The following is a 27448-nucleotide window of genomic DNA, read 5'->3' as shown; positions in this document are numbered from 1 at the left end:
ACTTGAGCCTGGGAGGCGGAGGTTGCAGTGAGCCAAGATCATGCCACTGCACTCCAGCTTGGGCGACAGAGTAAGACTCCGTCTAAAAACCAAAAAAACCCACAACATACCAAAATTGATGGACACAGCAAAAGCAGTGACCAGAAAGACATGCACAGTGTAAATGGCTACACTGAAGAAGATCTCCAATCAGTTACCTCAACTCACGCCTAAGGAACTGGAGAAAGAAGAGCCAAGATTAGAGGGAGACAATAGACTGAAGAAACAGGCACACGCTGCGTAACTCCACTTACACGAAGATTAGAGGGAGACAATAGACTGAAGAAACAGGCACACGCTGCGTAACTCCACTTAAACGAAGATTAGAGGGAGACAACAGACTGAAGAAACAGGCGCACGCTGCGTAACTCCACTTACACGAAGATTAGAGGGAGACAACAGACTGAAGAAACAGGCACACGCTGTGTAACTCCACTTACATGAAGGGTTTAGAGCAGTCAGGTTCACAGACTCGGAGCGGAGTGGTTGCTACCAGGGGCTGCAGGGAGGGGAATGGGGAGCTGGTAACCGGCTCACACAGGGTTTGGGTGGCGGATGTGAACAAGCTCCAGGGCTCGGCTGTACAGCACTGCTCCTGCGTCAGCTGTGATGTGCGGTGCCCTCCACAATTTAAGAGGATAGATCCATGTTGTGTTCCTACCACAATGAAATTGTAAAAAACTGCTACGAACAATTATATGCCAAAATTACCTACAAGACATGGACAAACTACCTGACACAGAAAATTCCTGGAAACATAAATTACCAAAACTGACTCAAGAAGAAAAGAAAATCTAAATTGAGGTAAGGCAAGCAAGGAGACTGATCAGTAATCAAAATTTTTCCAACAAAGAAAAGCCCAGGACCAGATGGCTTCACTGGTGATTTCTACCAAATACTCTTACGAACAAATGGCAATCCTTCTCAAACTTTGAAGGAAAAAAATGGAAGATGTGCGCATACCTCCTAACTCACTCTGAGGCCAGCACCACCTTGACATCAAAGCCAAACAGACACTAAAGAAAAAGCAGAACTCTAAGCTAGTATCCCTTACGCATACAGATGCAAAAATCCTCAAAATACTCGCAACATTCAGCATATTAAAATAATTATACAGCATATGGCTGGGTGCGGTGGCTCACGCCTATAATCCCAGTACTTTGGGCGGCTGAGGTGGGCAGATCACCTGAGGTCGGGAGTTCAAGACCAGCCTGACCAACACGGCGAAACCCTGTCTCTACTAAAAATACAAAATTAGCCGGGTGTGGTGGCGGGTGCCTGTAATCCCAGCTACTTGAGAGACTGAGGCAGGAGAATCACTTGAACCCAGGAGGTGGAGGTTGCAGTGAGCCAAGATCGTGCCACTGCACTCCAGCCTGGGCAACAAGAGTGAAACTCCGTCTCAAAAAATATTAAAAATAATAATCATATAGCATATTAAAAGGACCAAGTAAAATTTATCCCCAGAATGCAAGGAGATATGAATGAAATAATAAAACCACATGACCATCTTCATTGCAGGAAAAAGCATTTGATAAAATGCAATAGCTTTTCATGGTAAAAGCATTCTGAAAGAAAACTTCAGCATGGTAAAAGCCCACAGCTAACATCACACTCAATGGGTGAAACACTGAACACTTTTCCCCGAAGGTCAGGAACAAGAAAAGAATGCCCATCTCAGCTCCTTCTGTTCAACATACACGTCCTAGCTAGTGCAACCCAGTGAGTCACCCACACGACCCAGCAATCCTACCACCTGTACACCCCACGGAACTGAAAGCAGGGAGTCAGAGATCTCTGCATTCGCTTTCATGGCAGCACGGCACACAACACACAGTGCACCGTACGCAACAGCCAGAAGAGGAACACGTACGCCAGTATGTCGTGGATAAGCAAACTGCGGCCTGTCCACACAACGGGATGCTTCTCAGCCTTCAAATGGAATAAAATCCTGATACGGACCTGGGTGAACATTGAGGACCTTATGCTAAGTGAAATAAGCAGTCACTACAGAACAAGCACCGTATGACTCCACTCGCAGCAGGTCCTAGATTCACCAAATTCATAAAGACAGAGAGTAGAATGGGGGTGCCAGGGCTGGGGTGGGCCCAGGGAGTGACTGTGCACTTGGAACCTGGAAGCCAGAAGGTAAACCATCTCTAAGCACAACAGCACGGGAGGCGCCTTGCTGTGGGCACGGCTGGGTCACTCACCGGTCAGATGCATGGTCTCCAGGAGCTTGGACACCAGCGCCCCGTCTTCCTCCAGCTCCACCTGCACGAGGCCCAGCTTCCTGCGCATCTTCTGCAGGTAGTGCCTTTGGAACTCGGCGTCAAACTCCTCGGCCAGGATGGCCTCCCCCAGCTCCAGGGGCAGTTCCGGCTGCAGGGCCTCGGCCAGCTTCCGCAGGTTCCACCTGCACACCTCGGGCTGCTTGCTGTACGCGTAGCGGCCGGTGTTGTCGGAGGCATTGCACACGTGGTCGGGGTCGTACCTGCCACACGGGGCAAGAGAGCCACGCCCTGCCTGAGAGGAAGTTCCCGGGAGATGGTGCAGCCACCCTGGAGGGGAGGCCCAGGGGAAGGTCCCAAGTGGCCGTGGCTCTCTGGCCCTGTCCCACAGGGGTCCTGTCTCACCAGCCCCTGGCCAAGGCCTCCGGGATTGCCCTGGACTCTCTACTTCCTACATCAGCCCCCAGCCCCCTCGGCTCCCCCTCAAGCATCACGGGCCAGTGCCTGGGGGCAGCAGGTTTCATGCAGCCCGCACCCCCCAGCCCTGGGGCCTGCACTTTGCTGGGCCCCAGGGCCACTTACCTGTCCAGGAAGCCAAAGGGCCCGTAGTCGATGGTGAGCCCCAGGATGCTCATGTTGTCGGTGTTGAGCACGCCGTGGCAGAAGCCCACACACTGCCACTCGGCCACCATCCGCGCCGTGCGCCGCGTCACCTGGGGTGGGACAGTGTGCTTGCTCCCTCCTCGGGGTCCTGCCCAGACCTCCCCACTCGTGTCCATCCTTCCCCTCCCTGAAACCGGCTGTGCTTCGCTGAGTGGCTCTCACTCTGCAGTTTCTGGGCGATCTTCCTGATGTCCTGTCACCGCCTCAACCACAAGGTGGCGATGAAGAGTGCGTTGCACTCACAGCATCCACTCTTTAATATGCTCACAAAATTTGGCTTTTACCCAAACTAGAAAAATCAGGGAACCCCAGACTCAGGCCCAGTAGAGACCCCAAAGAAGCAGAGAAGGGTCAGTTCACTGAGGGGCCACACCTGCCCCAGGGCCAGGCCACTGTCCATCCTGGTGCCACCACCACCCTGCTGGCCTGGCCCCCCCCAACCAGACAGCAGTCCCCACCCAGCCCAGCACCGGTAACCTTGAGAATAGGGGCCAATCAACAGGGGGGCCAGGAGCCCCCAAGGTGCAGGGTGCACTGAGGGCCCCACCGGCCCTGCTGAACACAGGCCTGACACCACCTCTCTCCTTCAAGGCCACCGACGCTCCTGGGAGGCAGTCAGTGCCGTCTCCCTGCGTCACTGGCAGAAGACTGAGGCTCAGAGGGGCAGAGTGACCTGCCTTGACCACCCACGCATGTCTATGCCGGAGCACCAGGCTGCCCCAGCGGCTCCTCCCGGCCTTCTGCAGCCCCATCGCCCACCCACATGGAACATGGCTGGGGTGGACTGCAGGGATGGAGCTGGGGCAGGACACAGCCCTAGGAGCACCTGCCTGGCGCCAGCTTCTGCTGACGGCAGCCCAACAGCCCCCAGCCACGTGGCAAAGCGGGTCCCCACGCAGCCCTGGCTGCAGCTGCTCCAGGGGTGGCCTGAGACTTCTCAAAGAAGATGCTGTGCCCGGTCCCCCGGAACCCCTACTTGGCCTGACCCCGCTGATGCTGCAGGCCCCCAGCCCAGCCAGGTGAGGTGCCGGGTTCCCCCACCGTGTGCTGAATGCCCTGTGACAAGGACGATGCCATCAAGCCATGTGGGACGTCTGTGGTGTCCGTGGGGCGGGGACCCAGACCCCAGGTGGGCACTCAGCATCTCCCCAGTCAGGACCCGGCTGGCTGCCCTGGGCATCAAGACGTATCGACCCACGTGGGAGGTGCCCAGCCCATGGTCCTTCCACCCAAGCCAGCTCCCACCCCGCACCCCCGCCCCAAGCTGGCCCTGCAGGGATACCAGTAGGAGAGCACGCCCAGGGCCCCCAACACCACGGAGCCCAGGGGAGTTTCAGGTTTGTCCCAGGGCCCGAGCACACATGATGGGGTTTGCGGACAGGAGCGGGAGCTCAGAGAAGGGCGGGGAGGCTGGGTAAAAGCCTTTGTCCCCCGGCCAAAATGAGGGTGTCTTCAACACAGGTGGGGACACCCAGCATCCACCCGCAGGGAGGGGTGGCGTGCGGCCCACTGACCTCCCGGAAGAAGGCAGCATTTCTCTGCACGCTGTCGCTGGCATGAGCAGCCTGGATCTCGGGGTAAAAGGAGCTGATGACATAGTCGAGCAGCTGCACTCGAATGTCGTTCCTCCCCACGCTGGGGCCTGCACGCCCTGTGTGCTCATCTGCAGACTTAAAAATCTCAAAGGATCCAAACCTGGAGGGAAGACCCGAGGCGTCAACAGCCCAAACCTGACCCCAGCCCCTTGTGAAAATAAGAAAAAGGAAAAGACGTTGTTGTGGCTATTTTTTTTTTTTTTTTGAGATGGAGTCTCACTCTTGTTGTCCAGGCTGGAGTGCAGTGGCGCGATCTCGCCTCACCACAACCTCCAACTTCTGGGTTCAAGTGATTCTACTGCCTCAGCCTCCCGAGTAGCTGGGATTACAGGCACACGCCACCACGCCCAGCTAATTTTTGTATTTTTAGTAGAGACAGGGTTTCACCATGTTGGTCAGGCTGGTCTCAAACTCCTGACCTCGTGATCCACCCGCCTCGGCCTCCCAAAGTGCTGGGATTACAGGCGTGAGCCACCGCGCCTGGCCTGTTGTGGCTGCTAAATCATGCAGCCCTACAGCAGAAAGAGAACCTTGATTAAAACAAAAGCAAACAACCAACCAGAATGCACCACAGCTTTACCTGACACACAGACATATTCCACGTTTGGTCAACATCCAGCCACTGACCAGGCCCTGTCTGCACAGTCTGGGGCACGTGCCGGGCAGGCCCATGGGTGTAGAAACCACCAAGGCCCCTGCACTCCCACCCCAACCCCACGAGGAGTGTTTTCGGCAGGTCTTACACACGGAGGGGCGTGGCCTGCCTGCCACTGCGTCCTCGGGGAGGAGATGCAAAGGAGAGTCAGCTGCTATGGACACACATCTGTGAGCGCTCACCAGCAGCCGTCCCCCAGGGTGACTGCCCCCCAGGGGACATCAGGCAAGGTCTGGACACATTTTTCGTTGTCACAACTGGGGTTACTACTGGCAACCAGCGGGCCCAGGGCAGGGATGCTGTGTGCACACAGGGTGGACTTCACAACAATGCCAGCATTGCCGCTGGGCGGGGCCTCAGAGGAAGTCGTGGCCCCAGATCTTTCCCATCCCCCTGCAGGACAGGAAAAGCCAGAGGCCCACAGGCAGCCTCAGGGGTGGGCGGCTGGTGTCCCGGGCAGGACGGGGCTGCAAGACCAACAGACAACTACATTCAGGTGTTCAGGAGGAAGTGCTAGACGCCAGGTGGCAAGGTGACATCAAAAACTGATGGCTGGGGGCCGGGCGCGGTGGCTCAGGCCTATAATTCTAGCACTTTAGGAGGCCAAGATGGGTGAATCACCAGAGGTCAGGAGTTCGAGACCAGCCTGGCCAACATGGAGAAACCCTGTCTGTACTAAAAATATAAAAATTAGCTGGACGTGGTGGCGCACGTCTGTAACCCCAGCTATTTGGGGGGACTGAGGTAGGAGAATCGCTTGAACCCGGGAGGCGGAGGTTGCACTGAGCCAAGATCACGCCACTGCACTCCAGCCTGGGTGACAGAGCGATACTCTGTCTCAAAAAAAAAGAAAAGAGAACTGATAACTGATGGCTCACGTCAGACAGGAGCCAGCCTAGGACTCCAGACCAACGAGCAACTGGACCATCAGATCAGAAAGCCTGAGCAGGACACCGCGCACAGCTTGCGGCTCCTGCTTCTTCAGTGGCCATTTCCTCAGTCAAGTCTAAGTAGTTCCTTGTCATAAACTCCAGCAAACAGCTCTGGACACTGTCCCCAGCCTCAGGCTCAGGGACCCCCTCCCCCCCAGAAGCACCAGGCAGGGACCCTTCTCTGGTGCCCGTGGCCCTGGAGCCCCCTGCTGGTGCTTTGAGACACACCAGCTCCCGCAGGGCCATCTCTGGCTGCAACGAGGGCCTGGCCGGGCACGTGGGAGGGCTCAGCACAAGTGTCCTAACTGAGTACCAAATGCCTTTGCACTCAGATCCCTCCCAGTGGGCGTGACGCAGCTACTTCGCGGACAGGCAGCTTCTGAGGCTGCCAGGGACAGGCTGGACTTTCAGAAGAGGCCAAGGCGGTCATCTGGGTTTGTTTCTACCAGAATCCTAGCAGCACAGGCCCAAATCTCCTAGGACTCTAAGCAAGTGCGTGTAGACAGGCCGAAAGGCCCCCGGCATTACCTTATGAAAGTGGAAGCTACACGCAACACAACCGTGCATTGTTCATATTTGGGATTACCATCATAGAACACGTCGCGCACCACCGTGGACTCGGACGTGACGCAGGCGCCGGCCCGTGTGGTGGGGACTCCCAGGTGGAACATGGCTTCGCTGCATAGAAACTCCCGGATGCTTGACCGTAGGACCTTGCGACCGTCGGCCTGTCTGAAACCAAACACAGAGTTCACTACGTGGGCCGGTCAGGAGGTCACCCAACACCAGGATTCCGGGCAGCACATGGAAAGGAGGGAACGCGTGTAACGTGAGCAGCTTGCACGTCCCTGAAAACCGCCCGTCCCAGGTGACATCAGGTGCCTTGTGAGCCTCCAACACCGCCCAGTTCCAGCAACCTCACAGCCCAGCAGGTTGTCGGCACAGCCTCTGGTAAAAATGGGCCTGAACACACGCAGCAGCCCGTCTTCCTGCCCAGAACGAGGGTTCCGCAGCAGAAGCCAGGACTGTGTGACTGCACAGTGGGGACAAAGGGCCTGGGGCAGCCCTGCCCCATGGGACACAACAGCCTTTGCACCAGGATGGGTGCCCCGGTACGGGCCAGCTGAGGAATGAGCTCCTCTGTGCCTGCCGGGGCCCCCACACCCACAGTGGGAGGAGGCAGGGCAGAGAAGCCAGCTGCCCGCCCCGCAAAACCCGCCCGAGGCTCCGACAGCGCTGGCCTCAGGCCACTCAGCCACTTCTGACCCCCAGGTCTCGCATTCCCTTCCCCACAGGTCTTCGGGTCCCCGGCCTCGGCCTCATGTCCTGCAGAACTGCCGAGGCCAGGGAATCGGACAGGCATGGGGAAGGGGATGTGAGATCTGAGGGCCAGATGACTGCCCCCTTTTTCTTCAATTATTTTCACTGTGGTAAAATACACATAAAATAAATTTACCATCTTAAGCCACTTTTTTTGTTTTTTAAAGACAGGGTCTCACTCTGTCACTTGGCCTGGAGTGCAGTGGCACAAACCTGGCTCACTGCAGCACCACCCTCTCGCCTCAGCCTGCCAAGCAGATGGGACTACAGGCAATGCCGCCAAGCTCTGCTAATTCTTGTCTTACTTTTTGTAAAGACGGGGTTTATGTTGCCCACGCTAGTCTTGAACTCCTGGGCTCAAGCGATCCTCTCACCTTGGCCTCCCAAAAGTGCTAGGATTACAGGCATGAGCCACTGCGCCCGGCCCATCTTAGCCATTTATAAGTGTACAGATCAGTGCTATTAAATACGTTCATAATGTTGCACAACCATCACCCCCATCCATGTCCAGAAATCTGTCTTGTGAAACTGAAACTTTGTCCCCATCGAACACTGGCTCCCGATTCCTCTACTCCCTCCAGCCCCTGGGACCCAGAAACTGAAACTTTGTCCCCATCGAACACTGGCTCCCGATTCCTCTACTCCCTCCAGCCCCTGGGACCCACCATTCTACTTTGTCTCTATGAATGTGGCTCTCTAGGTACCTCATGTAAGTGGGATCACCCAGGATTTGTCTCTCTGTGACCAGCTTATTTCACTGCACCACGTCCTCCAGGTTCATCCGTGTTGTAGCATATCAGCATCTTCTTTCTTAAGGATGAATAATATTCCACTGTATGTACACATCACATTTAATCCATTCACCTGCTGATAGACACTTGTTCTGCCTTTTGGCCATGAATATCGGTATACAAATCTTGAGATCCTGCTCTTGGGGATATACCCAGAAGCAGAACTGCTGAATCATGTGGTGATTTAATTATTTGAGGAACTTCCACACTGTTTTCCACAGCAACTCTATCATTTTACATTCCCACCAACAGTGCAGAAGGGTTCCAATTTCTCCACAGCCGCAACACTTTTTAACTTACGATTTTTTTTTTTTTTTGAGACAGGGTCTCACTCTGTCACCCAGGGACAGTGGCGTGATCTCGGCTCACTGCAACCTCCGCCTCCTGGGTTCAAGTGATTCTCCTGCCTCAGCCTCCCAGGTAGCTGGGATCACAGGCACGCTCCACCATGCCCGGCTAATTTTTGTATTTTTTGTAGAGCTGGGGTTTCACCATGTTGGCCAGGCTGGTCTCAAACTCCTGACCTCAAATGATCCGCCCACCTCAGCCTCCCAAAGTGCTGGGATTACAGGCGTGAGCCACTGTGCCCGACCAACCTTTTATTTTTCCGAGACAGTCTTGCCCTGTCGCCCAGGCTGAAGTGCAGTGGTGTGATCTTGGCTCACTGCAAGCTCCACCTCCCGGGTTCAAGCAATTCTGCCTCAGCCTCCTGAGTAGCTGGGATTACAGGCACCCACCACCACGCCCAGGTCAACCTTTTTTTAAATAACTGCCATCCCAATGGGTATGAGGTGCTGTCCCACTGTAGTTTTGGTTTGCATTTCCCTAATGATTGATGACGTTGAGCGTCTTCTCATGTTATAAACTCTTCACGTGCTTATTGGCCACATCTTTGAAGAAATGTCTATTCAAATACTTGTCCATTTTTGAATTTTTTTTTCCTGTTGCTGAGTTTTGAGAGTTCTCTGTATATTCTGGATCTTAATTACTTATCAGATATATGAATTGCAAATGTTTCCTCCCATTCTGTGGGCTGCATTTTTACTGTTAATACTGTATTTTTATGCCTAATTTTTAAAGTGTTCATGAAGTCTTGTTTGCCTGTTTCTTTAGTTGCCTGTGCCTTTTGTGTCACAGCCAAGAACGCTGCCAAATCCAATGTCATGAGGCATTTTCCCTATTTTCTCTAGGAGTTTTAGCTCTTATGTTTAGGTCTTTGGTCCACTCTTAACTTCGTTCATGGTGTAGTTAAGGACCCAGCTTCATTCTTTTGCATGAGGATCCAGTTTTCCCAGCACCATTTGTTGAAAAGTCTTTCTCCATTGAATGGTCTCAGCACACTTGTTGAAAATTTGCTGACCATATATGTGAAGGTTTATTTCTAGGCTCTTTATTCCATCCCACTGGTCTATGTCTATCCTTATGCCAATGCCATACTGTTTTGCTGACTGCGGCTTTGTAGTAAGTTTTGAAATCAGGAAGCATGAGTCCTCCAACTTTCTTCAAGATTGTTTTGTCCATTCAGGGTCCCTTGAGATTCCATATGAATTGTATTACTTTTTGAGACAGGGTCTCACTCTGTCATCCAGGCTGGAGTGCAATGGGATAATCACAACTCACTGCAGCCTTGAATCCTGGGCTCAAGTGATTCTTCCACCTCAGTCTCCTGAGTAGCTGCAATTAGAAGCACACGCCACCATGCCCAGCTAATAAAAAAAAATATTTTTTTGAAGAGACAGGGTCTTGCTGTTTCCCAGGCTGGTCTCCAACTCCTGGCCTTAAGCAATCCTCCTGCCTTGGCCTCCCAAAGTGCTGGGATTACAGGAGTGAGCCACTGCACCTGACCCCATGTGAATTTTAGAATGGGTTTTTCTATTTTTGCAAAAACTGTCATTGGTATTTTGATAAGGACTATACTGAATCTCTTCAAAGAGTACCGTTGTCTTTCTAATATTAAGTTATCCAACCCACGAACAAGGGATGTTTCCATTTATTTATGTTTTCTTTATTTTCTTCATGTTTTTCAGTTTTCACTGTTCAAGTCTCTTCCTTCTCACAGCCACTTCAGACGTTAGCCTCAATCTTGGAGAACTGGTGAGGCCAGGGACCCCAGGACACGTGTGGGGATGTCAGGCAGGGCCTGAGTAAAGGTCAAAGGACTCCTTAATTTTTAGGAGAAAATATATTCTAGCAGCTCTCAGGTCTGAAAGCAGTGAGTTAATACTCAAGTCTTCAAACATAAAAAGTGTCTTCCAGCGACAGATTACTCTCATAAAAAAAATTGTCTTTTTAACTTTAAAATATCACCAAAAATGAAAACATAAAGTTTAAGATGATCGCCAAAAAGAAAAACAAAAATTAAAAAAAAAAAATGCTCACAGGACAAGCAGGCCCCAGGCTGAGCAGCATTTCCACCACGTTCCAAGGGTCAGAAACGCTCCAGTGGGCGGCCGGTGCTGTCAACTCTAAGCAGGTCGCTGGGGGTGGGGAGGGAGAGCCAGAGCCAGGTTGCCCTCAGACACAGAACAGAACGGATTTGGAGACGGGGGAGTGAGGAAGACCCTCAGTCTGAGGAGCTTGCTTGGGAGATGGAGCCCCGGGGAAGGGATGCTGAGGGACCGAGGGGCATTTCAGGTGCTGGAGGGGGAGGTGATGAGAGCACAGGGAGGGGCCGGATGAGATGCGGGTTTAGCATTTCTCTGAACATAAAATGTACACTTTCCTAGTCATTCACAAAAGCAGTAAAGAATATGGAGTAAGTACATTGTTTAGTAGAAAAGAGCAGAACAGACCCAAGCGCTGTCTATACACAGGAGGCAGGTGGCGCGTGCACGGCTCCCCGGTGGGCCTGGCGGCATCTGGACCCAGATCCTGCCTTATTAGACCACCTGTGTGCCCCCCCACAGAAATCTAAACGATGCCCACCTCACTTCGGGGTTAAAAAGGGCTGCCCGCAGGGAAGTCAGGGCCAGGCCTCCGTGAAGTCAGTCGCAGAGCGAGGCTGCTGGACGAAGCGGCCCGCCCCACGAGCGATCGGAGGAAGGCTGGGGACCTGCGGGGTTAGGGTTAGGGTTAGCCTAACCTCTCATCCCGGCTCCCGCCCCTGGGTTTGGAGCCCCAGCGAACGTCGGTAAACATGAGCGGCGTCCCTGGTGGAGCTGACTCCAAGGTCCTCGGCGGGTTGATAAGCACAGGGCGCGGGCGGCTGCCAGCACCGCGCTCCCGCGGGTGCAGGGGAGGCCCCACTTGGCAGTAGCCGCCGGACGCCCCCAACACCGCGCCGGGCGGAGGGAAGGGGCGCCCCGGCGGGGAGGACCCACCCGCGCCCCTCGCCCGCCCCGGCCCACCTGGAGAAGGGCGTGGGCCCGGCGCCCTTGAGCTGCAGCTCCCAGCGCTCGCCGGTCGCCGTGCACACCTCGCCCAGGTACATGGCGGCGCCGTCGCCCAGCTGCCCGGCGAACTGGCCGAATTGGTGGCCGCAGTAGCAGTGCGCGGCGGGCTCGGCGCCCGGCAGGAGCGCGTTGCCGCTGAAGAACAGCGCGGCCTCGGCCTCGGCCTCGCGCGCGGGCGGCGCGCCCAGGCCCAGCAACGCCAGCGCGGGCTCTGACAGCGCCACGAGGCGCGGCTGCCGCAGCGGGGTGGGCTGCACGCGGGTGAAGCAGGCCCCGGGCACGGGCCGCGGCGCGGACGGGGCGCCCTCGGGACCGGGCGGCGGCGCCTCCACGGGCAGGGCGCGCAGGGCGCGGTTGTCGAAGCGCAGCCCCGCCAGCCAGCGAGGCGCGGGCTCCATGGCGGCGCCCGACAACGTAGAGCGGGGCGCCGGCGACGGGGAACAGCGACCGAGGGGCAAGAGTCGGGCAGCCGCGAGCGAAGCCCCGAGCGCTGCCCTGTATACGGCCATCCGCGGCCCCGCTCCCGCCGGAAGCCAGCCTGCCCCGCCCGGAAGCCCCGCCCCGCGCGTCCCGCAACCCAATCGCCAGTGGGCGAGAGTGGGGCGGGTGGGGGGAGGGGTCGCGGTGTCTGGCCGGGCTCTAATTGGCTGCCTCGTCCGTCTATCCGCATCTCCCGGCCGGAGGGTCGGAGGCGTCCGGGGTGGCTGTCGGCGTCACGGGGCGCGCGCTGATGCGAACGGGGTGACAGATGGGAACGCCTCCGAGACCGCCAGCGACGACCCCGCTCGGGCAGCCCCGGATTTCCTCGGCTGCACCGGCGCCGGCAGCGGGGACCGAGGCCCGCGTCCGTTCGGGTCGGGCCGGGGCTTAGCCCCGCGCCCCACGGGCGGCCGGGACCCCACCCGGACCCCGCCGCGGTTCTGGGCCGCCGGAGCCTCGCGCCGCCTCTCGGGGACCTTGTCCCCTGGCCTCCGGCCTCTCGGGCCCCTCGCCTGCCGTCTAGGAGGGAAGGGGCCTTGGATCTGTGCCCCGCCCATGGAACAGCGCCCGGGCTCGGAGAGGCCCCGCGAGGCCGCAGGCGCAGACCCTCCCGGAGGGCTGGGCGGGCACCGGGGTCTTCGGCTGGCTTGAGGGACCCGACCCCTGGGGGAGGAATTTGGGGTCTGTGTGTCCGAATGAACGCGGGGGTTCAGATGAGTCTGTGGTGCCCCCGCTTTCCATCTCCTCCGGCCCCGGCCCCAGAGGACTGTCTGAGAGGCCGGTGGCCGCGGATCCTGGACGCGCCTCCCTCCTGCCTGTGGTTTCCCTTTATTCCGGCAGCGGCGCGAGCCCACCCTTCACATACAGGAGCTACATCCAGAAGCTTCTCCTGGGGCCACAGCGTGGGCTTCCGAGACTCTGCGTGACCCCAGCTCTGCCCCTTTGGGGCTGCGGGTGAAGCCCTCAGGACCCTCCGCGTGCGTTGGGCAGGTAACTGGATGAGGGATAATGTGGTGAGGTCCCCGTGCCCAACCCTCCTCTGCAGCCCACAGCAACCGTTCCCTCTTCAGCAGCCCCCTCCCCCCGGCCGCTCTGGGCGCCCGTTCCCAGCATCCTCCTTGGCAGGTGTTACCCCTCCCCATTCCCCAGGCCCTGGGCCCTCCTGATCTGTCTCCTCGACCCCCTGGGGCCCCAGTCTGGCTCAGTCTGGTCCACACTCTGGAATCTGGTGGGACTGGGTATGGAGGGTCTTGAGTGTCAGCAGGCCACCTGCGTCCCACCTGGTGGGTGAGAAGGGTCCCACAGGTCAGCATGGAGGGACCCGACTCTGTCTCTTCTGCTGGAAACCAGGCAGGTTCCTTCCCCCAGGGCCCCGGCAGGGCCACGAGTACCCGCTGCACTGGAGCACGGGGGAAGAGGCAGGGATCCTTCATTACCTGAACCCCATGTTCACACGTCACAAAACAGGAGTTTCCAAAATTAGAATTTATTTCAGTTTCTAAGGAATGAATCCCCGAGTGTGGCAGGAAGGACACAGCCGGCTCCTGACGCACACCTGATTTGATTCAACACCGAGTCGGCACAGACACAACCAGAGATGGCCTGGGTCCAGGCTGGGGCTGCACGGGCTGTGTCCTGGACAGCCAGGAGGGAGGCCCCGCACACAGACGGCCGCCGGGCAGGGGGCCTGAGCGGGACAGGCCTGGCCACAGCCCATGTCCTTGGCCTTCCACATAGGTGCACACATTGTCTGCCCAGAGAGGGCCAAGATGCCCCAGGCACCCCTTCGCTCCGGGGGCTCAGGACACAGGCTCCCAGCTGAGGCCACGCCTGGACCCAGAGCTGATGTTTGGCTGCACGCGAGCCCACTCGGGACAGACCCAAGAACACGAATTCTCTCCCTTTGGATTTAAGGCTGGTGTTTTTTGACATTTACTTCAGTTTTTCTCTCTGAAATTAAAATTACCTGAGTAAAAGATTTTAAGACATTAAAAAAGCCAAAAACACAGAATCCCTGCAGGCAGACGGTGCCAGGGAGGTGGCGGCCAGGGCCAGGATGCCAGGGGCACGGTGGGGTCGGCTGGAGCTCCAGGGCTGGGCCTTTCCCAGTCTCGCCTGCCCTGGAGCCCCCAGGAGCCGCCCCTGGGCCGACGCTCCTGTGGCCGGAGCACAGGAAGGCACAGTGAGGTAGGGACAGTGGCCATTGTCCCCCGCCTGCCACCAGGGCTGAGAGGGCAGCGCACGCCTCGGCCCCTCCTATAAGCCCCTGCCCCCTCGGAGCTGGGTGTCTTGTCCAGAAGCTGGGGAACGGCCCCTGCAGTGTGGGAGGGGAGGGGCTGCCGGGAGGCCTGAGCTCAGACAGTTAAATAATCCTTTATTTGGGTGGGCTGGGGGAGGGGTGACTGGCCCAGGAGGGCAGGCGAGGCCGGGCCCAGACCCCCATGGGGGGTGGCAGGGGCCTCGGGCGGGCTAGGATGCACCTGGCACCCAGAAGTGCCGCGGGGGCACTGGCTCCTCAGGGGCCCGAGCGGGCGGGGAGCAGTCTCCTACTTGTGCCGGGCCTCGGTCACCCTCTGCAGGCAGTACTGCGCGGCGGGCAGCGACAGGACCAGGCTCGCGGTGCGGCGGCCCATCCAGTACAGGCTGTAGCCCAGCAGGCCGAAGAAGGCGGCCTTCACGGCCAACCGAGACACTCTGCCGGAGACGGACGGCGGGGGCACGCTGTGGGAGGGAGGGGGCGCTGGGCCTGGCTGGGGGTGGGCTCCCCATACCCCAGCCCCCATGCCTGGGTCACTGCCGCATGTGGTTGGCCTCCAGGGCGCTCAGCCTCCACCTGGGGGCTTGTGGGGTGGGGCTTGCAGGGAGGGGCGGGCACTCACGTCATGATCTCCTGGATGTTGAGGTCGGTGCTCCAGTTCTTCTCGATGCCAGGCACGTGGCCCATGCCCACGACGCCCACGACCACGGAGGGGACGCACTTCCTGGGCTCGGCTGTGGGGAAGGACAAGGGGTCAGTACCTGCTCGGGCCTCAGCCTCACAGGGGGTCCCACGCCTGCGGGCGGCCGTCACCGTCAGAGGCCCGAGGCAGCTCGAGGCGCCGCGCGGCCTGGCGCAGCATGTAGGTTAGGTAGACGTCGCGCTCCGAGACGATGGTGCGGTGCAGGTCTGGGAACTCGCCAATCATCTCGGCCATCATCTGCTCCAGTAGGTCCTTCTGCTTGCAGCGTTCCACGTCATCCTTGCTGTGGAGAGGGATGGCTGCAGCCCCGCAGGGATGGGCAACGGGCTGGGGGGGTGGGGCTGGCACTGTGGACACCGGGCAGGGACCACAGCACGTTTGTTTGGGATTTGTGGCGGAAGGAAAGGGCAGGGAAGGCCTTGAGTGAGGATTGGCTGCGCTTGGACCTGCACAGGAGGGCCTGGAGCCTCCCACAGACCACCCTGCAGGCCGGCCAGGGTCCCGGGGGCAGCCCTACCTGATGGGGTCTGACAGGAAGCACAGGCCCCAAGCCAGCCTGACCTTCTGCCAGAAGGAGAGCGCTGCGATGGCCCTCTTGAAGGTGACGGGGATGGGTCGGTCACCCAGGTGGAACTTGCAGAAAGGCACCTTGCTGGCCTGGAGCAGAGGCTGGGTGTTGGGGAGCAGTGGGAACCCCGGACCACCCCTGTGAGCCACATCCCTGTGGCCACCCCCTACCTCACCCTGTGCCCACCTCCTTGAAGGCCTCCCTGAACTCGCCACCTGGGGCCATGCCCAGCTGCTCGGTGATGTGTGCAGACACCTTCAGCAGCAGCATCTGCATCAGCCCCGACATGAGCCCGTTCTGCAGAGAGAGGGAGCAGGCATCAGCTGGAGGGGCGGGTGCGGGGGTGCGCTGGGGGAATGGCAGAACTGGGATGGCAGGCAGCACCAGCGCAGAGCCCTGCCCCAGCCCAGTGCTGTGTCCTTGGCCCCCTCCCCGACAGGTGCAGGACCACCCTAGCGTGCAGAGGGTCAGACCAGAGCAGGGAGTTCTGTCCCAACAGGCACTTCTCAAAGGTAGCTCCCTTCAGAAAAGACCTTCACGGGCCGGGTGCAGTGGCGCACGCCTGTCATCCCAGCACTTTGGGAGGCTGAGGCAGGCGGATCACGAGGTCAGGAGTTCTCTCTCAGACCAGCCTGGCCAACATGGCGAAACCCCATCTCTACTAAAAATATAAAAATTAGCCGGGTGTGCTGGCGGGTGCCTGTAATCCCAGCTACTCGGGAGGCTGAGGCAGGAGAATCACTTGAACCCCGGAGGCAGAGGTTGCAGTGAGCCGAGATCACCAGCCTGGGTGACAGAGTGAGACTGCTCTGTCTCAAAAAAAAAAAAAGAAGAAGAAAAGGCCTTTATGAGGCAGTCTCGTTCTGCGAAGGGGCCGCCTTGAGCTGGCACAGACGCTGGGTGCTGGGCAGGCAGGCTGGAGAAAGGGCCTCACCACTCACACCTGCCTGCTGAGGTCAGCACAGCACTGCTGGTGCGGACACCAGGCCACCCCCATCTTCAGCAGCTACAGCCCGAGGCCTATTGCCCCTGTCTCACCGGCCGGCTGGCACCACGGGGGTGTCCACGTGTGAAGGAGATGATGCCCACAGAAGGGCAGCAAAGCCCCGGGGGCCACACAGCGCCGGGCAATCGCTCACACCTGCACGCGCCCAGGGACGGTCTGGGCCTGAGCCATGAGCCCTGGGAATGTCCCGCCTGATGGAGTGCCCGTGTTTCCCCGGGGCCCAGGCCACCCTGGGGAGCCCAGGCTAACTTAGGATGAGACATTCACGAGGCCTTGGTCCACTGGGACCCACTCCACCTCTGGAGGGGCTGGGGTCTGAGCTCAGACGTGCCTGTGACCAACCCCAGTAGAAACCTAGACACCAGGGCACAGCGAGTGTCCCCCGGGAGGGGACAGGTGAAGCGGACACCTGGTGTCTCCCAGACCCTGCCCCACGCCCCCTTCCCTCTGTGACACCGCAGCAGTGAGCAGCACGGCACTGCCGAATTCTATGCCCCTTCGAGATCACTGGGCCCCAGGCTCTGGTGGGGAGGCTGCCCAGTGCTGGGCCCTGGCTGGACCGGGGACTGCCCTTTAGAAGACGGCCCACAGAGGTCTTCTTTGGTGACTTGCCTCATCTGGAGAAATTAAAAAATGAAAGGCAGGCGCCAAACGTTTAGGGACATTTCTATAAGATCTCATTATAATTGTTTCCTTTGAACAGGGGGAAGGCAAACTGACCAGGGCTGGGGTCAGGCGTGCTGGGCCCCCTTTGAAAACACAAAGCCTGGCCGGGCGCGGTGGCTCATGCCTGTATTCCCAGCACTTTGGGAGGCTGAGGTGGGTGGATTGCCTGAGCTCAGGAGTTTGAGATGAACCTGGGCAACATGGTGAAACCCCGTCTCTACTAAAAATACAAAAAATTAGCCAGGTGTGGTGGCAGGCACCTGTAATCCCAGCTACTCAGGAGGCTGAGGCGGGAGCATCACTAGAACCCAGGAGGCGAAGGTTGCAGTGAGCCAAGATCGCACCACTGCACTCCAGCCTGGGCAACAGAGCGAGACTCTGTCTCAAAAAAAAAAAACAAAAACCGAAAACACAAAGAGCAATGAGAAAGTCCTGCCTCTCCGGTCACTGCAAGGCTGGAGAAGTGGGGACAGGAGGAGCCCTGAGCCCCACCCACTTTGGGCCTGGGTGTGGTACCGGGGGGGCCAACCTTGCACTGAGACCTGACCCATCCCCAGCAACTGCTCAGCAACCCAGTCCTCGGGTGACCAGCCCCTGCCTCAGCTTGGAGAGCCACCCATTTCCTCCTCCCTTGCCTGAAACCGGGTAATGGAGCCTCTTTCATTTCTCCTGGCCCAGGGGAGGTCCCTAACCCGGCAATCCCCAGGGCAGGCCAGGCACAGCCACACTGACTGGGGGCATGGGCTGTGAGAGGAACCTGGGCAACAGGCAAACAGGTGGCTTTGACCCCGACCCTGACCCTGACCCTTGCCCGCGGCTGCGCACCTGCCTCACGGCCTGCTGCAGCTTCTCCAGGCTGAGCTCCTGGGCCTCCCGCAGCAGCGTGCTCTCGTCCATCTTCAGCATGGACACACGATATTGGCAGAGCTCCACGACCACCACGTCAGGCTGCACCTCCCGGATGGTCTGCAACAGCCACAGGTCACACCTCGAGAACACAGCCGCTCCCTGCCCCTCAGCACAGCTGACGCCAGCACCAGGGGCCCCATCCCAGGAGCAGCCAGCCTTGGCGTCACCCCAGGGCTAGCTAACCCCGCTGCTGCAGTGACAGCTCAATTCTCTAAGCGACGAGAGAGGAAGCTGTGAGGCTTGTTCACTTGTTAAGTGGGAAAACGCACAAGGCCGTCACGGCTCCCAGGCAGGAAGCCCACCTTGCCACTCCCAGGGACCACAGTGTTGAAGCAGGAGGCCTGCGGTGCGCACACACGGGCACACGGGCCCTGCCGGGAGGTCCCTGAGTGCAGGACACAGGAGCTTACACCAACCCGTGTCCGGGATGTGGCGGGTGGCGGCGCTCACCTTCACAACGTCCCTCTTGCTGTCGTCGCTGAAGTGGGCTGTCCCCACCACGTACACCCTGCTCCCGTCCTCAGCCACCAACTGGGTCACAGTGCGCGGCAGGTTGGGCCGCTGACGCCGCCGCTTCAGCTTCATCTCCAGGAGCAGGTTGAAGGCGTCCACGTCGGCTGCAACAGCAGCACAGGCCGTTGTGGTGCCGGGCCCACCCCAAGGACGCCGCCGGGCCCGCTGGCAGCCTGGGCTCTAGAACCCTCCTGGGTTCTGAGAACTGAACAGGTGCAGAGCACAAGACTCCTGACGAGCGTCACACTCCACAGGCTTTGCCTGCCCAGTGATGGGAACACCGGCTACCACCTCTGTGAGCTGCACGGCTTCGAGAAGCCAGGGCCTCAGGAGTCCTGTGCCCCATACACCCCATGAGGGCGACCTTGGGGGTTGCTGTGGATGAGGTTCGGTGTGGGGGACAGTGGGGGCAGGTGCCGCAGGGGGCTCAGCTAGGGGAGGGGCTCTGAGGCGAAATGGGCCCCCCCACCCCACTCAGGAGGGACAGGCTGAGGCCACAGCAAGGAGGGACTCCCGTGCCGCTCACACTGCTTGTGCTCACGAGCCCCCCATGCCCAGGGGCCTGCCTGTGCTGCTTGCAGCCCCTCCAAGAGGCTCCACTGCCAGGCAGGGCCCAGGAGCAGCTGCTGTTGGGTGGCACCAGGCCTAGCAGCACCTACCTCAGGTCTCGGCCAGGGCCCCTGCTCACCACAAGCTCCAAGCCCCTGGCAGTGGTTGGCTGCCTCCCCCTCCTCCCTGACTCAACAGCCCAACACCGGGGAACGTGCCAGGACCCTGAGGGACACGTACACAGGTTCTGGGGGTCTCCAGAAAGCACCCTGGGCACCGGCTCTGAAGCCTCTGACGGCACAACAGGTTCCACGTTGGCCTGCAGGTGGAAAGGAGAGTTCAAGTCAGGGTCCATGCACCCCAGAAAGCCAGGGCTCCGTGGCAACTCCACGGACCACGTACCCTGGAAAGGGACCCGTGGCCGCTGTGTGGACCACACACCCTGAAAAACGAGGGCCCGTGACCGCTCCACGGACCACGTACCCGGGAAAGGGACCCGTGGCCGCTCTGTGTACCACACACCCTGAAAAGCAGGGCCTCCGTAGAGCCTAGGCCCCACACTGTCAGTACCCCTCCTGCTTGGCCATCACTGGCACGGCTGCCATCAAGCTGGGCAGACAGGGCCACCAGGCCACCTCAGCCCAGCGCCCCTCTCCCTCGGAGGTGCCTCCTGCCTGACCCTGGAGAACCCTGTGAAGATCACCTTTGCAGAACAACAGCCAGGGACCGACCCCGAGAGCCCACAAAGCGGGGAAGCCCCCCGCCCCTGTCTCTGTGCAGCCAGCCCAGCCTCCACCTCACCTCGTGCGGTGGCTGCTGCTCCTCCCCGTCCATGGCTGGGCGGCGGCTTCCTGCACCTGTGGGGAGCCTGAGGAGAGGCATGAGAGGCGGGGTTTCCACCTGGAGCCCCAGACCTGGCTCAGGACTCACTGCGTAGTGCCCTGTCAGTCTAGAACCATCTGTTGGGTGGGCCTGGGGGCTCCTTCCCCCATATCCCCAAATGCCTCCTGCCCATCAAAGGCTGCTGAGGTCCAGGGTCGGTTCAGGTCAGGCCCGGGTGGGGAAAGGCCAGCAGGTCCCCAGACACCCCAGCATAAACCAAACGCAGACGGGCCCAGGGCGGGTTGCTGGTGCACAGGCCTCACTCAGAACAGGGCCAGAGCTGCCCAACCCTCACTGCGGCACGGCGGGCACACATAGGAAGGCAGCCCTGGGGTCCACACATGATCTCAGGACACAGCAACGCAGCTGCTGACACATGGCAAGGACCCCAGGGCCTTTGTACAAAAGCCACTTCCCCTTTCAGTAACTACAGCCTGGGCAACAACACCGGCACAGAGTCAGTACAGACGGAGGAATCCACAAAGCACACAAATCAACGTGTTTGGACCTAAGACCTTCTCTCCCACTTTAAGAGACAAACATGGTGTGGAAGGAACCACGGTAGAAACCCGGACAGGCTGGGGCAGCCACACGAGGGGGCTGCCCCGAGGCATCACAGCTCCCCACAGACTCTCAGAAACCAGGAGCTCAGGCCGGGGGCCCAGGAGCCTGAGGGAAGGAAGAAAACAGCCAGGCGCCTGCAGCACCAGAGGCACGCACCGGCCAAGACCCACAGAGCATCGGCGAGACCTGCGCGGAGCCCCTCGAGGCGGGGCCAGGGACCAGCAGGCTGTCCTGAGACTGGCCACAGGCCCTGCTGCACCATGTGGCTCTTCCTGAATGTTCTCAGCCACGGAATGCCAGGAGTGACTGTTTACCAAGTTAATGGCTCATGCATGTCCTGGCGGATGGATGTGTCACCAGGCAGAATCATTAAAATATCCCAAACAGGCCAGGCGCGGTGGCTCACACCTGTAATCCCAGCACTTTGGGGGGCCAAGGTGGATGGACTGCCTGAGCTCAGGAGTTCGAGACCAGCCTGGCCAACATAGACCATCCTGGTGAAACCCCATCTCTACCAAAAATACACAAATTAGCCAGGCGTGGTGGTGCACACCCGTAATCCCAGCTACTGGGGAGGCTGAGGCAGGAGAATCACTTTGAACCCGAGAGGCTGAGGTTGCAGTGAGCCGAGATCCTGTCACTGCACTCCAACCTGGGTGACAGAGGGAGACTCTGTCTCAAGAAAAAAACAAAAGTAAAAAATAAAAATGAGCCGTTGGAAACCATTCTGAGCTGTCTAGTCGTGCAAGGTATTGTGGTTTTGTCTTGAAGCGTCTGCGTCAGTCAGACACGAGCATCTGGCGAGGAAACGACGGGGCTTGTAGGATGTGCTTCAGAGGGGCCACTGCCGGGTTCTGCACTGATGCCTGCGTGCATCTGGGGTCATTTTCATGTCACTACTGCTGCCCACTTCTCAGAACTCATAAGAAAAAGGAACAATGAGCAATAAGACGCTATGTCAGGTTCCTTTCCTCTGCAAACCCTGTTGGCACACAGCCACAGCAGGCACAGACCTCGGCCCCAGCCAGGACTCACAGACCCAGCTGGGTCCTGGCCACCCACATCCAAGTTAAGATGCCTCCAAGCTTGGGTGTCCTAACCTGTGAACAGGAAGGAGCTCTCTGTGCAGTGTCTAGGAGGGCAGCTCAGGGGCTGGGGGAGCAGGGACGGCTCTGAGCAGGGGAAGAGGCCTGTCTCAGTGCAACCAGAGGCCCCATCTGAAGCTGGCCGAGAAGAGGGCAGCCCACCCTGCCCTCTTCTTGGACAGCCGGGACTTCTGGGAGAGGAACTGGCCTGGCTTGGGGTGGGTGGTGCAATGGGGCCATGGTCGGGGGAGGTCAGCTGAGACTAAGGAGACAGCTGATAAACACCAGGCTCATGTCCCCGGGGGCCTTGAGCCTCTGCAGAGGGCAAGGGGGGCCCGCTCCACAGGCAGGCTCCCCTATGGGGCCTCACAGCCTTGGCAGGGGGTCCCACTCCTTGCCACCTGGGCTTGAGTCTGGACCCAACCCTGGCCTGGGCGTCTTAGCGGTTGGCACATCCAGGAAGTGCAGCTGGCACCGGTCACAGCAGGACCAGGCCCCGGACCCTTGGGCCGCCTCCTTCCCCTTTTGTAGGTGAAAGCTCCACGATGCAACCCGACCGGAACCCACCGGAAGCTGTTGTGAGCAGCCGCCAGGCCAGCCAGCCCAGACAAGCACCCGGTCCGGGAGACGGCCGCCTCCCTGGGTCTAGCTACACACACAAGCCAGAACTCTTAGGAGCAGCGCAAGACTGCCGGGGCGCACGGGGGAAACTCACACACGGAAGTCCGGACCATTAGAGCAGCGCAAGGCTGCCGAGGCACACCGGGGAAACTCCTTAAAGAAACTCCTGTGCAGCCGGGCGGGAGGCTGCGTCGGCCCAGCCAACAGGAGGCGCCCACGTCGCCACAGCCCTTCCCCCATGGGTGTGGCAGCCCCAGGTCTGCGGTCAGCCCCCACCCTCCACCCAGCCTGGCCAGACCCGCCTCTGAGGCCGGCCTAGGGTACGCCTGTGGCCATGGACAGGGCAGGGTCTCGGTGCAGCAGCAGGCGCTGGTCCTGACCCCAGTCGTGCCATGGGGTGGGCGTGCACAGGTCTCCTGTCAGGGAGGGCAGAGAAGCTTTCCTGGGCCGGCTGCCAAGCCTTGAGCAGGACGATGTCAGCGCCACCAGAGGCAGTGCCAGCCCCCAGCCCTGGCCCCTGCAGCCTCTCAGCAGAGGCGTGCTGCCCGCAGGGAGCCAGGCGGGAAGGTCACTGAGGACCCCCCAGCACCTAAAGCCCGTGATTCTGGGGGACGTCTCTGACAGTCACTCTTACAGTCTCAACACTCTCTTTCCCTCCTCGCCAAGGCCCCTGGAGAGCTCTAGGGTGTGATTTCAGGTTACCAGCCCTCCTCCCTCTAGTCTGCTCCCAGGCAGCTGTGCTCTCAGACATTTATGGCTGGGCCCAGAGCCTCTCCCAGCTGCCTGGCGGTGAGCAAAAGGCCCTGGCCCAAAAGCCACAGATGCTGAGCCTGGACTCTGAAGTGTCTTCAGAGACAATGTCTGAAGAACCCCCACCTGGTTCCCAGCCCCACAACCTCTGGGTCCCAGCAGAGCATCACCTGGGGTCCGGCCAGCACACACTGCAGCCACCCCCTCTGGGTCCCAGCAGAGCATCACCTGGGGTCCGGCCAGCACACACTGCAGCCACCCCCTCTGGGTCCCAGCAGAGCATCACCTGGGGTCCGGCCAGCGCACGCTGCAGCCACCCCCTTTCTACCTGTCCTTTTCAGATACGCTCAGGCCCATCAGCAGAGACCAGCAGACCCTGGCTGCCCCTCCGGGGGGACAGACATCTCTCCTTCCCAAATCCCCAGTGCTGGCACTGCCCCAGGGAACCTCGCAGTGGCTTCTGGCCTTGTTACCTGCAAGGCCAACCCGCTGGGAAGCGGTGCAGCCTGGCAGGAAGCCAGACGCTTGTATCAGACCAGCTGTGCTTCACTCTCCCTGCCCCGCACGGACGTCCACCGAGCAGGACTGGGGTGGGTGCTGAACACGATTTGTGGGACATGCCTCCTGAGCATGGGTAGCCGGCAGACAGGGTCCTCAGATCTCAGACCCCAGTGCTACCCTGGGCAGGATGCTCTGGGCAGGAGCCGCCGTTTAAGGCGGGAACCTGCCTCCAGGGCCAGCATCCCACCTGCCCCACACAGGAGGCCCTCTCTGGGCTGCAAGCACAAGCCACATTCAGATGCTGCTTTAGCGGTCAGCCTCGGCCTCGAGCTTCTCTGCCGCAGCACAGTCTGTCCCGAAGGCAGAGAACGGGGTGGAGACCCACAGGGCAAGAAAAGACTTAGCAGCCCGATTTCAGGAGACCCTAGACACTGCCTCTGAAGACACTTGTTCTCCAAGCACTGTCCCTCATCTGTAAAAAGGGATATCTGGCTTTGGAAACCATGATCCTCTGTGCAGACGAAGCCTCTGAGAATTCCCAACAGCCCCAGGAGGACATCTGTTGTGCGCAAAAGCCCATCCGTTAGGGCTCTGCCTGAGGTGTGCGGCCCTAGGACACAAAATCAGAGCGGCATCTACAGTCCTTTGGCGTCAGAGACGGCTGTCTGCATCCGAAATGTCCCGCAGGGCTTCTGTCCCAGGACCTGACATCCAGTGGGAGCCTCAGACAGCGCATCCCACCTGCCTGCTCAGGTCCCACTGCTACAGACTGAACTGTGTCCCCCAAAACCCACAGGTTAGAGCCCTAACTCCCACTATGAAGGTATTAGAAGGCAGGGCCTCCAGGAGGTGATCAGGTTCGGATGAGGTCATGAGTGCATAGCCCCCATGACGGGGTTAGTACTCCTGGAAGAGACGCCACGCAGCTCTTGCTCCCCCGGGTAAGGACGCCGCGGGGGCCCGTCTACAAGCCAGGAGGCTGCATGGCAACCAGGGACCAGCACCTTTGATCTGGGATGTCCGGCCCCTAGAACTCTGAGAAAATAAATTTCTGTTAAGTTTTTTCCCAGCACCAGTGAGGCATGGTGGGAGGAGCCTACTCGCTCACAGCCCCAGCTACTCAGGAGAGGCTGAGGTAGGAGAATTGTCTGAGGTCTGGAGTTTAAGACCAGTCTGGGCAACTTAGCGAGACCTCATTTTTTTTTTATTTGAGACGGAGTGTCACTCTGTCGCCCAGGCTGGAGTGCGGTGGCGTGATCTTGGCTCACTGCAACCTCCCCCACCCTGAGGTCCAAGCGATTCTCCTGCCTCAGCCTCCCGAGTAGCTGGGATTACAGGCGTGCGCCACCACCCCCAGCTAATTTTTGTATTTTTAGTAGAGATGGGGTTTCACCATCTTGGCCAGGCTGGTGTTGAACTCCTGACCTTGTGATCCACCTGCCTCGGCCTCCCAAAGTGCTGGGGTTACAGGTGTGAGCCACTGCGCCAGGCCAAGACCTCATTTTTGTTTTTGAGACAGAGTCACACTCTGTTGCCCACGCTGGAGTGCAGTGGCATGATCTCGGCTCACTGCAAGCTCTGCCTCCCGGGTTCACGCCATTCTCCTGCCTCAGCCTCCCGAGTAGCTGGGACTACAGGCGCCTGCCACTACACCCAGCTAATTTTTTGTATTTTTTAGTAGAGACGGGGTTTCACCGTGTTAGCCAGGAAGGTCTCCATCTCCTGACCTCGTGATCTGCCCGCCTCGGCCTCCCAAAGTGCTGGGATTACAGGCGTGAACCACCACACCCAGCCCAGCCTGCTGTTTTTTAAAGTTTCCTGGTCTGTGATGCTTTGTTACAGCAGCTAGAGCTAAGACACCCATCTTATCCCCTTCACCCCACTAGAAACTGCCTCCCAGACTGCAGCCTAGCTTCCTAGTGCAGACCAAAAACTGGCTAGCACCAAATGCAGTTACCAGAAAAACCCCCATCTCTCAACCAACCCACTAGACCGGCTCAGAAAGCCCAGGTTCCAAACTGGTCAGACCTGGGGGTTGCAGAAATGACAAACTTGGAGGGACCAGGGTGTGGCCCAGAGCTTTGACCTCCCCTGCTTCCTGTTTCTGATGCCTGGCACCTTTGGCCACAGGAAACCCCTCCCGGCTTTGGCGGGACCGCTTCACGCAGGTGTGGCAGAGCTGGGAGACGGGAAACACACCTGAGCCAGAGCCCGAGGCCTCCTTGCCAGCACACCTGGCAGCCCCCAACCTCCCAGGACCTGGTCACAGTCAATGCAGAGCCCCCACACTGACCACCATGCAGGGGGCCCCACAGGCTCCTGCCACCCACCCACCCTGCCAGGCCCCCTCCTCGGACCCCACAGCATCAGGGCCTCCGGCGAGGCTGGCCAGCATCCCCACCAGTCACACTGCAAGGGCGGCGGCAGCAAGCGGGGAGCAGAGACACACAGCGCAGTGAGCCTGGCGGCCTGCACGGCCTCTTCAGGGACCTGAAAGCTAGGAGGCTTCCATCTGGAGGCTACCGAGGCTGCGGGAGTCCCCGCAGGGAGCTTAGCACCTCCACAAGTTCCTGGTTGTTTCTGGGACGCTAGTGCCCAGACAGCTCCCACTCCATCTTTCTTGTAAGAGTTTTGACAAAGACACACGGCAGCTTCATGATAGCTCAGTTAAAAAGACCTTTTAAGTTTGGGCTGCGCACAGCGGGGGACGATCTGGCGTCCACTTCGCCCATATGGGAACCCCGCTCTGCTCCAATTGAAGGGCAAAGGCACCTACAGAAGAGCGAAGCCCCAGGTTTCAGCGGGGCCGGAGGGGACAACGGGGGTCCGGGGCCTCCCGCTCGGCCTCCCCCAGCACCCCCAGAGACCCGCAGGCCTGGGCCGCCTTCCTCCACTCTCACCTCGGCCGGCTCCACCGCAGGCGGCAGGCGGGGGTGGCTGGGGCCCTCCCGACCCGCGAGGACCCTGGGACTCGAGGTCCGACCCGCGCCTTCCCGCGAGGCCGCCGCTGACCCTCCCCGCCCCAGCCCTGGGGGGCTCCGCTCCTCGGCAGCGCCGCTCCCGGCAGCGGTGGCAGGGGACGCGCGGGGCCTGCTCCCGCCCCAAACCTGACCCGGGCCTGACCCCCACGACCTGCTCCCCCGGCTCCAAAACCTGACCCGGGCCTGGCCCCCCCAACGACCTGCCACCCCGGCCCCCAAACCTGACCCGGGCCCGGCCCCCAACGACCCTGGTCTACCAGCCCCAAACCCTGAATCTGACCCTGGCCTGACCCCCACGACCTGCTCCCCCGGCCCCAAAACCTGAACCTGATCCGGGCCTGACCCCCACGACCTGCTACCCCGGCCCCAAAACCTGACCCGGGCCTGACCCCCCCCGCCCCCGGCCCCCACCCCCCGACTCGGGCTCGCTCCCCCCGCCCCCCACAGTCACCCCGCGGCCCTGACCCGGGCCCGCCCCCCGCTCGGTGCTGGGCCCCGTCCTCACGCACGCGCCGTCCGCGCCGCGCGGCGTACCGAGGCGAGGCAGCGGCGCTCCTCAGCCGGCCTCCATGCGGCGCGGGCCCTCAACGGACGGGGCGGGCTGGGGCCGCGGGGCGGGGCGGGGCGGACGGGCCGAGGGCGCCGGCGGCCGCGTGGCATGCCGGGAAGTGTAGTCCCACGCGCCTCCTGCTTGGCCCCGGCCCGCAACTTCGGACTACACTTCCCAGGGGGTAGCGCGCGGGGCCCCCGCCCCCCCCCCCCCCCCCGGCGCTCCCGGGTCCTAAGGAACATCGG

The 27448-nt window shown here is 59.9% G+C and overlaps 2 protein-coding genes and 2 long non-coding RNA genes across 25 annotated transcripts in view, besides 21 other annotated features; 2 read left to right on the top strand and 2 right to left on the bottom strand.

Annotated features, from left to right (window-relative positions):
* The window catches only part of SELENOO (selenoprotein O), a 16606-nt gene extending 4453 nt beyond the window's left edge, over nt 1-12153 (bottom strand). Inside the window, exons 1-5 of the mRNA NM_031454.2 lie at nt 11574-12153; nt 6644-6847; nt 4448-4628; nt 2853-2983; nt 2253-2533 (exon numbers count right to left, since the gene is read on the bottom strand). Coding sequence (NP_113642.1) covers nt 2253-2533; nt 2853-2983; nt 4448-4628; nt 6644-6847; nt 11574-12127 — 1351 coding nt within the window. The 5' untranslated portion in view covers nt 12128-12153. The remainder of the gene's footprint in view (nt 1-2252; nt 2534-2852; nt 2984-4447; nt 4629-6643; nt 6848-11573) is intronic.
* SELENOO-AS1 (SELENOO antisense RNA 1) lies at nt 2983-7583 on the top strand. The gene is made up of 2 exons (XR_938352.3): nt 2983-3952; nt 4395-7583. It is a non-coding gene; the product is annotated as an SELENOO antisense RNA 1 (long non-coding RNA).
* Nucleotides 5124-5688: an enhancer, noted in NCBI's record as "H3K4me1 hESC enhancer chr22:50645905-50646469 (GRCh37/hg19 assembly coordinates)". NCBI's record gives its function as "activates a minimal SCP1, AML or CMV promoter by ChIP-STARR-seq in primed H9 embryonic stem cells {active_cell/tissue: H9 hESC(primed)}" and the evidence as "EXISTENCE:reporter gene assay evidence [ECO:0000049][PMID:30033119]".
* Nucleotides 6256-6821: an enhancer, noted in NCBI's record as "H3K4me1 hESC enhancer chr22:50644772-50645337 (GRCh37/hg19 assembly coordinates)". NCBI's record gives its function as "activates a minimal SCP1, AML or CMV promoter by ChIP-STARR-seq in naive H9 embryonic stem cells {active_cell/tissue: H9 hESC(naive)}" and the evidence as "EXISTENCE:reporter gene assay evidence [ECO:0000049][PMID:30033119]".
* Nucleotides 6822-7388: an enhancer, noted in NCBI's record as "H3K4me1 hESC enhancer chr22:50644205-50644771 (GRCh37/hg19 assembly coordinates)". NCBI's record gives its function as "activates a minimal SCP1, AML or CMV promoter by ChIP-STARR-seq in naive H9 embryonic stem cells {active_cell/tissue: H9 hESC(naive)}" and the evidence as "EXISTENCE:reporter gene assay evidence [ECO:0000049][PMID:30033119]".
* Nucleotides 11084-11323: an enhancer, noted in NCBI's record as "active region_19306". NCBI's record gives its function as "activates an Ori minimal core promoter by ATAC-STARR-seq in GM12878 lymphoblastoid cells {active_cell/tissue: GM12878}" and the evidence as "EXISTENCE:reporter gene assay evidence [ECO:0000049][PMID:35858748]".
* Nucleotides 11684-11763: a silencer, noted in NCBI's record as "silent region_13957". NCBI's record gives its function as "represses an Ori minimal core promoter by ATAC-STARR-seq in GM12878 lymphoblastoid cells {active_cell/tissue: GM12878}" and the evidence as "EXISTENCE:reporter gene assay evidence [ECO:0000049][PMID:35858748]".
* Nucleotides 11894-12833: a silencer, noted in NCBI's record as "silent region_13956". NCBI's record gives its function as "represses an Ori minimal core promoter by ATAC-STARR-seq in GM12878 lymphoblastoid cells {active_cell/tissue: GM12878}" and the evidence as "EXISTENCE:reporter gene assay evidence [ECO:0000049][PMID:35858748]".
* TRABD-AS1 (TRABD antisense RNA 1) lies at nt 12381-14076 on the top strand. Its single transcript, NR_186698.1, has 2 exons — nt 12381-13088; nt 13836-14076. It is a non-coding gene; the product is annotated as a TRABD antisense RNA 1 (long non-coding RNA).
* On the bottom strand, nt 13569-27251 carry TRABD (TraB domain containing). 22 transcript variants are annotated; one of them, XM_011530718.3, is made up of 11 exons: nt 27159-27251; nt 20071-20137; nt 19510-19588; nt 18658-18824; nt 18124-18264; nt 15813-15923; nt 15576-15727; nt 15169-15341; nt 14978-15089; nt 14649-14819; nt 13569-14048 (listed from the first exon to the last, which is right to left on the bottom strand). In XM_011530718.3, the coding sequence occupies exons 2-11, from the start codon at nt 20101-20103 to the stop codon at nt 14036-14038; spliced, it is 1152 nt and encodes a 383-aa protein (XP_011529020.1). In that variant the 5' UTR covers nt 20104-20137; nt 27159-27251; the 3' UTR covers nt 13569-14035. The 22 variants fall into 22 exon arrangements, 21 of the variants coding, with proteins under 21 accessions (XP_011529020.1, NP_001365694.1, XP_011529019.1 ...); NM_001378765.1 differs by having other exon boundaries at nt 15576-15715; XM_011530717.3 differs by having other exon boundaries at nt 27163-27251.
* Nucleotides 20425-20514: an enhancer, noted in NCBI's record as "active region_19305". NCBI's record gives its function as "activates an Ori minimal core promoter by ATAC-STARR-seq in GM12878 lymphoblastoid cells {active_cell/tissue: GM12878}" and the evidence as "EXISTENCE:reporter gene assay evidence [ECO:0000049][PMID:35858748]".
* Nucleotides 20595-20644: an enhancer, noted in NCBI's record as "active region_19304". NCBI's record gives its function as "activates an Ori minimal core promoter by ATAC-STARR-seq in GM12878 lymphoblastoid cells {active_cell/tissue: GM12878}" and the evidence as "EXISTENCE:reporter gene assay evidence [ECO:0000049][PMID:35858748]".
* Nucleotides 21205-21254: a silencer, noted in NCBI's record as "silent region_13955". NCBI's record gives its function as "represses an Ori minimal core promoter by ATAC-STARR-seq in GM12878 lymphoblastoid cells {active_cell/tissue: GM12878}" and the evidence as "EXISTENCE:reporter gene assay evidence [ECO:0000049][PMID:35858748]".
* Nucleotides 21405-21554: an enhancer, noted in NCBI's record as "active region_19303". NCBI's record gives its function as "activates an Ori minimal core promoter by ATAC-STARR-seq in GM12878 lymphoblastoid cells {active_cell/tissue: GM12878}" and the evidence as "EXISTENCE:reporter gene assay evidence [ECO:0000049][PMID:35858748]".
* Nucleotides 21745-21964: an enhancer, noted in NCBI's record as "active region_19302". NCBI's record gives its function as "activates an Ori minimal core promoter by ATAC-STARR-seq in GM12878 lymphoblastoid cells {active_cell/tissue: GM12878}" and the evidence as "EXISTENCE:reporter gene assay evidence [ECO:0000049][PMID:35858748]".
* Nucleotides 22235-22594: an enhancer, noted in NCBI's record as "active region_19301". NCBI's record gives its function as "activates an Ori minimal core promoter by ATAC-STARR-seq in GM12878 lymphoblastoid cells {active_cell/tissue: GM12878}" and the evidence as "EXISTENCE:reporter gene assay evidence [ECO:0000049][PMID:35858748]".
* Nucleotides 22235-22894: a biological region, named in NCBI's record as "H3K27ac-H3K4me1 hESC enhancer GRCh37_chr22:50628699-50629313".
* Nucleotides 22280-22894: an enhancer, noted in NCBI's record as "H3K27ac-H3K4me1 hESC enhancer chr22:50628699-50629313 (GRCh37/hg19 assembly coordinates)". NCBI's record gives its function as "activates a minimal SCP1, AML or CMV promoter by ChIP-STARR-seq in primed H9 embryonic stem cells {active_cell/tissue: H9 hESC(primed)}" and the evidence as "EXISTENCE:reporter gene assay evidence [ECO:0000049][PMID:30033119]".
* Nucleotides 22895-23509: an enhancer, noted in NCBI's record as "H3K27ac-H3K4me1 hESC enhancer chr22:50628084-50628698 (GRCh37/hg19 assembly coordinates)". NCBI's record gives its function as "activates a minimal SCP1, AML or CMV promoter by ChIP-STARR-seq in primed H9 embryonic stem cells {active_cell/tissue: H9 hESC(primed)}" and the evidence as "EXISTENCE:reporter gene assay evidence [ECO:0000049][PMID:30033119]".
* Nucleotides 23725-23784: an enhancer, noted in NCBI's record as "active region_19300". NCBI's record gives its function as "activates an Ori minimal core promoter by ATAC-STARR-seq in GM12878 lymphoblastoid cells {active_cell/tissue: GM12878}" and the evidence as "EXISTENCE:reporter gene assay evidence [ECO:0000049][PMID:35858748]".
* Nucleotides 23795-23844: an enhancer, noted in NCBI's record as "active region_19299". NCBI's record gives its function as "activates an Ori minimal core promoter by ATAC-STARR-seq in GM12878 lymphoblastoid cells {active_cell/tissue: GM12878}" and the evidence as "EXISTENCE:reporter gene assay evidence [ECO:0000049][PMID:35858748]".
* Nucleotides 23895-23964: an enhancer, noted in NCBI's record as "active region_19298". NCBI's record gives its function as "activates an Ori minimal core promoter by ATAC-STARR-seq in GM12878 lymphoblastoid cells {active_cell/tissue: GM12878}" and the evidence as "EXISTENCE:reporter gene assay evidence [ECO:0000049][PMID:35858748]".
* Nucleotides 25513-25562: a silencer, noted in NCBI's record as "silent region_13954". NCBI's record gives its function as "represses an Ori minimal core promoter by ATAC-STARR-seq in GM12878 lymphoblastoid cells {active_cell/tissue: GM12878}" and the evidence as "EXISTENCE:reporter gene assay evidence [ECO:0000049][PMID:35858748]".
* Nucleotides 26503-26812: a silencer, noted in NCBI's record as "silent region_13953". NCBI's record gives its function as "represses an Ori minimal core promoter by ATAC-STARR-seq in GM12878 lymphoblastoid cells {active_cell/tissue: GM12878}" and the evidence as "EXISTENCE:reporter gene assay evidence [ECO:0000049][PMID:35858748]".
* Nucleotides 27079-27448: a silencer, noted in NCBI's record as "silent region_13952". NCBI's record gives its function as "represses an Ori minimal core promoter by ATAC-STARR-seq in GM12878 lymphoblastoid cells {active_cell/tissue: GM12878}" and the evidence as "EXISTENCE:reporter gene assay evidence [ECO:0000049][PMID:35858748]".

Source organism: Homo sapiens, chromosome 22 (assembly GCF_000001405.40).
Source record: "Homo sapiens chromosome 22, GRCh38.p14 Primary Assembly".
NCBI lineage: Eukaryota > Metazoa > Chordata > Mammalia > Primates > Hominidae > Homo > Homo sapiens.
This window is presented reverse-complemented; position numbering and strand designations above follow the sequence as displayed.

Excerpts from the sequence above, each read along its gene's own strand:
- TRABD (XM_011530718.3), bottom strand. The coding sequence starts at position 20,103 with ATGGACGGGGAGGAGCAGCAGCCACCGCACGAG. Across the intron at positions 15,342-15,575 it reads TTCCTGTCAGACCCCATCAG|CAAGGATGACGTGGAACGCT; the intron begins GTAGGGCTGCCC and ends CCCTCTCCACAG. Across the intron at positions 14,820-14,977 it reads AACATCCAGGAGATCATGAC|CGTGCCCCCGCCGTCCGTCT; the intron begins GTGAGTGCCCGC and ends TCCCTCCCACAG.